Source organism: Homo sapiens, chromosome 3 (genome assembly GCF_000001405.40).
Source record: "Homo sapiens chromosome 3, GRCh38.p14 Primary Assembly".
Taxonomy (NCBI): domain Eukaryota; kingdom Metazoa; phylum Chordata; class Mammalia; order Primates; family Hominidae; genus Homo; species Homo sapiens.
In genome coordinates, this window is record NC_000003.12 from 9,773,937 (window position 1) to 9,779,955 (window position 6,019).

The 6,019-nt window shown below is 47.0% G+C and overlaps 1 protein-coding gene across 9 annotated transcripts in view, besides 1 other annotated feature; it reads left to right on the forward strand.

Annotated features, from left to right (window-relative positions):
* The window catches only part of OGG1 (8-oxoguanine DNA glycosylase), a 41,119-nt gene that overhangs the window by 23,985 nt on the left and 11,115 nt on the right, over window positions 1-6,019 (forward strand). The gene's annotated exons all lie outside the window — the stretch shown is intronic.
* Window positions 4,209-4,503: an enhancer, noted in NCBI's record as "tiled region #4794; K562 Activating DNase matched - State 6:EnhF". NCBI's record gives its function as "activates a minimal TATA promoter and a strong SV40 promoter by Sharpr-MPRA in K562 cells {active_cell/tissue: K562}" and the evidence as "EXISTENCE:reporter gene assay evidence [ECO:0000049][PMID:27701403]".

The following is a 6,019-nucleotide window of genomic DNA, read 5'->3' on the forward strand; positions in this document are numbered from 1 at the left end:
ATCAAGTGATCCTCCTGCTTGGGTCTCCCAGAGTGCCGGGATTATAGGCGTGAGCCAGTATGGCTGGCCTCCATGAATTCTTGAACCTGACAGAAAAGAAGCTATTGAAAGAGTGAGTAGTTAACTAAGATTAGAGAAAATGGAAGAAATAACAAGGAAAAGATGGACAGGTTTATTTTTTAAAATTCTTTGGCTGGGCGTGGTGACTCACTCCTGAATCCCAGCACTTTGGGAGGCCAAGGCAGAAGGATCACCTGAGGTCAGGAGTTCAAGACCAGCCTGGGCAACATAGTGAAACCCCATCTCTACTAAAAATACAAAAATTAGCCAGGTGTGGTGGCGCATGCCTGTAGTCCCAGCTACTCGGGAGGCTGATGCAGGAGAATCACTTGAACCTGGTAGGCGGAGACTGCATTGAGCTGAGATTGCACCATTGCACTCCAGCCAGAATGACAGAGCCAGACTCTGTCTCAAAAAAAAAAAAAAAAAAAACAAAACTTTAACTTTTGTTACTTTTTTTTAACTTTTTTTCAAAAAGTGAAAACCCTACTCTACTCCGAAATGGTAGCCAAAAATGAAAGGCAAACTTCAGACTGGGGAAATGTTTTGTAGACAATGGCTTAATATATTTATTATATAAACAGCACACAGGATTGATAACAAACAGTAAGAACCTAATAAATGGTCAAAGGATACAGATAAAACACAGTAAACACAGGACATTTTGTATCTCACTAGTGATACAAAAAAGTACAAAATAGAAGGTCATTTGCAGCCTTTCAAATTTGAAGTTTAAAAAGCTGGTAACACTGAAGGCTGATGTTGATGTGAGGAATGAGTAGTCCTACATTCTGGTGGGAAAATGATTTGCTAAAGATCCTTTGGAAAGCAATTTGGCAATATGCATCAAAGGCTTAAATAATGTCGAGGCCTTTTGATTCAGGGACTCCTCTTCTGGCAATCAATTTCAGAGAAGTAATCCTAAATTAGGACAAGGCTATATGCTCCAAGATGTTTGAGTAATTTTTTTTTTTTTTTTGGCTGGGCTCATGCCTATAATCCCAGCACTTTGGGAGGCCGAGGCAGGAGGATCACTTGAGCCCAGGAGTTCTCACCAACATGGTGAGACCCTGTCTCTACTAAAAATACAAAAATTAGCTGGGCGTGGTGGCACACGCCTGTAACCCCAGCTACTCGGGAGGTTGAGGCAGGAGAATCACTTGAACCTGGGAGGCTGAGGTTGCAGTGATTTAGATTATGCCACTGCACTCCAGCCTGGGCAACAGAGCAAGACCCTGTCTCAAAAAAAAACCCCAAAAAAACAAAAAACAATATGCCCTGAGCTTTTGATTAAAGGTTTTGATAAGAAATCACCATGTGAAACTTAATTTCCATTTGCTATCAAATGTATGGAGAGTATTTTCAATGTATGATTCCAGTTTCCACATGAGATATTACTGAAACAGATTTTGGAGGACATCTACCAGTCTGCCACATTCCACATCTCACTTGTATTTCTTTGCACCAACTTCACCCTCACTCCCTCTCATTAGTCCAGCCTCTATGCTGCTCTGAGAGTGCTTTCTGCTCACAAACCACCAGTGGCTCCCTGTTACTTCAGAATGTGATTCTCAAACTTTAATATGCACCAGGAATCACCTAGAAGGCATGTTATATATAATGTAAGGCTATGCCCCATACCCAGAGGTTTTTTTTTTTTTTTGAGACAGTCTCACTCTGTCGCCCAGGCTTGAGTGCAGTGGTGTGATCTCTGCTCACTGTAACCTCCACCTTCCAGGTTCAAGCAATTCTCCTGCCTCAGCCTCCCAAGTAGCTGGGATTACAGGTGCGTGCCACCATGCCTGGCTACGTTTTGTATTTTTAGTAGAGACAGGGTTTCACCATATTGGCCAGGCTGGTCTTGAACTCCTGACCTCAGATGATCCGCCTTCCTTGGCCTCCCAAAGTGCTGGGATTACAGGTGTGAGCCACGGCGCCTGACTATACACCCAGAGCTGTTGATTCAGTAGGTCTGTGGCCTGAGAATTTGCATTTTTATCAATTTCCTAAGTGATGCTGTTGCTGGCAGTCCAGGGACCACACTTGGAGCACCATTGTCTAGAGAATAAAGTCCATGCTCCTTAATCTGCCATTCAAACCCTTGCCCAGCCTGGTCTTCAACCTACTTTCTAGCTTCATCTCTTATCCTTTCCTTTCCCCTCCACACACCCAGGGCTCCAGTCACACTGCAGTTCTTACTTCTCTCTAAGCAGGCCAGCTGTTCACACCTCTGTGCCTTGCTCCTTTTGTCTGGAATGTTATCTTCTGCCCAGCAATTTTCTTTCCACATCCTCCCTGAAGCCTTTCCTGACCCTCTAAGCTGTTGTTAAGTCTTTCTCTGCCCCAGGTCCCTGCCAACTTTGCACAGTCTTCTTTTTTCTTTTTTCTTTTCTTTTTTTTTTTTTTTTTTTGAGATGAAGTCTCGCTCTGTTACCCAGGCTGGAGTGCAGTGGCGCGATCTCGGCTCACTGCAAGCTCCGCCTCCCGGGTTCACGCCATGCTCCTGCCTCAGCCTCCTGAGTAGCTGGGACTACAGGTGCCCGCCACCACGCCCGGCTAATTTGTTGTATTTTTAGTAGCGAAGGGGTTTCACCATGTTAGCCAGGATAGTCTCGATCTCCTGACCTCGTGATCCGCCCGCCTCGGCCTCCCAAAGTGCTGGGATTACAGGCGTGAGCCACCGTGCCCGGCCTGCAGTCTTCTTATTGCTCTTGCGGCCTAGTGTTTTGATTGTCTGTCTAGTGTGTCCCCATTTCTGGAGCCTTAGTCACCTCCATAGCTCTCAGCCATGGTGACAGGGTCACTGAATGAGGGAACAAAAGTATAATGAAGAAGTGGAGGTGTGTGGATGGAGTGAATAAGTGAATAGGGTAATTAGGTAGGTGAAGAGAAGAAATGGGGAGTTTATTGATACCTAAACGAGTGAGTTACAGTCCACTGGACTTGGTTCTTTCCATTGAGTCCTGAGCCCCAGGCCAAGAAATAAATTTACTCCCCGACCACATTTCCACAAAGCTCCTGCCATCACTTTCTTTTCAGCAGGAGCCAACTGGGACCCAGAGCACTTGGTGCCCAGAGTACTCAGGAGCAGACAGGGGCTGGGGACCCACTGTGGGTCAGAGCTCACCCTCCCCGTTCTCACTCACCCTGGTGTTGCTGAAAGTCAGCTGTAAGGCATTTGGAACTCTGGGGAGACCATGATGTGCAAGACAGATGCTTTCTAGGGCCAAGACACAAAAGGCTTTGCCTCCAAACTAGTGATAAGGAATCAGAATTGTTTTGAATTAAATTTGGAGACTTGAGGTACTGGAACTAATCCGCCCTCCTCATGACAACCCAGCTTCCTCCACACTCATAAAGGAGGCATCTTTTGGCTCCAGCAGACACTGATATGATTGTAAGAACTCTGCCAGGGATGGTGCTACCTGGGGGCAGCAACTATTCCTGCATCAAGGCTGCATGGCCTCAGCAAGGCACAGCATCTCTTTGAGTCTCTGTGTCATCTGCAGGCTGGAATATTACTCTCCTTGGAGGTGCATGGTAAGCATCAGATAGGAGGGGTGGGTAAAGGGCCTGGCACAGTGCCAGGCAGATAGTAGGTATGCAACAGAGAACAGCTAGAGTGCTCATGACTGATCCTTGAAAGTTAAGTTTCTTCTCTGGTGAACCAGGCCCAGTCGGTCTTCTAGGGTTCTTCTTTCTATTTATATCTGTCTTCCTTCTTTCACAATTCCATCCAATTTTGGGATGTCAGCTCTCATCCCACCTCCTCCACAAAACTGTCTCTGTTCTTGGAACTCTCTACCAACAACGCCCACCATACTTATGGTGTGGCCCAGTGAACATGGAAGTGAGTGGTTAAGAGGAGGGGGGTCTTCAAGCAGAGCTGCCATATATGGCTGCACAGGTTGGGCACTGCCCAAGTATAGGGAGTACCATTCACATACACTGTAATGGGAGTGGGGCCCCAGTGAGTTGTAATGAAGAGGCTCTCTCTGTAAGCCAAATGGCCTGAGTTTGAATGTTGGCTCAACCACTCAATTGCTTGACAAAGCAAGGTATGTAACCTCCTAAGCCTCAGTTTCCTCATCTGTAAATGGGATGTTATTATGGGGTAGCTGATACCTACCCCATAATATTAGGTAGTTGAATGAGTTCAGAACAATGCCTGGTGCATACTAACATTTACTGAGCCCTTCATTGCATTATCATTATGATTAGAGTTGGTTTCTCATCATTGCATGTGTGGGTGTCTTTTCTCTCTGAGAAGGCTGTGAGCAACCTGGGGACAATGAGTCACTGAGAAATTGCAGCAGCTTGGCCCAGCACCTAGTGGGAGGCAGGGCCTCATGCTGTCCTCTCTCTCAGGATCCTACTTCATCTTTCTTTTTGCCAAAATTCACTTGTAATAGGCCTTTTTTAGTTACAAATCACAAAACTCTAAAGCAAACTAGTTTAAGCCAAAAGAAGCCTTTGTGGGCTGATATATGTGGGAAGTCTAAGGGAGGATCCGGTGGCTTCAAGAATAGCTGGATGCAGCACTTCTCCATCTCCTGGCTCTGCTTTTCTGAGCTGGCTTTATTCTCAAGCAGGTTTTTCCCCATGGGAGGAGAGCAGGTCACTGGGGTAGACTGAGTTTATAGTCTATGGCTTATGGTCCAACAAGAAGTGGAACTCTCCTCTCAGCATCCACAGAGCAATCTTATGGAGGGCCTCGAGTGACCCAGCTTGGGTTACATGCCTGCTTCTGGGACTAATCATTGTGGCTAGAGGGATTGGCACTTGACTGGCCAAGCTGGGGTCATGTGTGCACCCTAGTTTGGCAGTTGGACAAGAACCATGTGTGATGGGGAAGGAACATTTCTCCAACAGAGAGGTGCTGGGTATACGAGAATGTTGGCCATGTTCGCCCTCCTTCTTTATGGCTCAGTTCATAGGTCACTTCCTTAGGGAATCTTACCCTCCCTTCTCTCCTGCGTGGACCTCAACCTTCCCACAGTAAATTGCAAATTATTCCCTGATTCTCTCAGACCAGTCTGGGAACAACTTGAGGCAGGTACCAGAGCATATTTATTCATCTGTGTCCCTTAGGCCAAGCTTCCTGCCCCAGCTGTGGAAGAGACGTTGTCGGTGGTCTATCTAGCACTCACTTCCCTGTTTCCTACTCAGATCTTGTTGGGTTTTACTCTCTCTCCACCACCTTGATGGAGTAGCAAACTCCACTCTGACTGGCATAAAGCCATTACAGTCTCCTTTGCCACAGTGACTGAGGAATGGGCATGTGAGACTGAGTTTGGGCCACTGAAACATGATGGTATCTGGGAAAAGGCTTCTTGCTTCTGTAGATGGGCCATGGAAGCCCGCTGGCTCCGGCTCCCTCCTGTGCTGGATGTAAATGAGGAAGCATCTGGCCCCAACTGCTCCACTGCCACACTACAGCCAGAGAAGGACTCACCTTAGGCAGAGGTCGACACTGTGGAGGGCAGTGTGGTGACCCCTAAGAAACCTGGACCCTTGGGGGAGGGGGGAGGGAAAGCATTAGGAGATATACCTAATGTAAATGACGAGTTAATGGGTGCAGCACACCAACATGGCACATGTATACATATGTAACAAACCTGCACGTTGTACACATGTACCCTAGAACTTAAATTAAAAAAAAAAGAAACCTGGACCCTTGATGACCCTGAAGAATTGCTAGATTGGCTAACCGTGAAGGCCACTCTGTCCCAGGACTGCCCATCCTGCAGCCAACACATTTCCTTACTGTGAATCCACTTTGAGCTGGGGGGGCATTGTTACGTGCAGCCACAAGTATCCTCAGAAAGAGGTACTCAGAAAGTTCTCCCTGACTGAATGCCATGGGTTAGTGGCCATGGGCTGAGAGCCACCAAGCATACCCCCCACAAACCTTACCACCCACACTGGTTCCTTCCTCCCCACTGTAACAGACATTCAA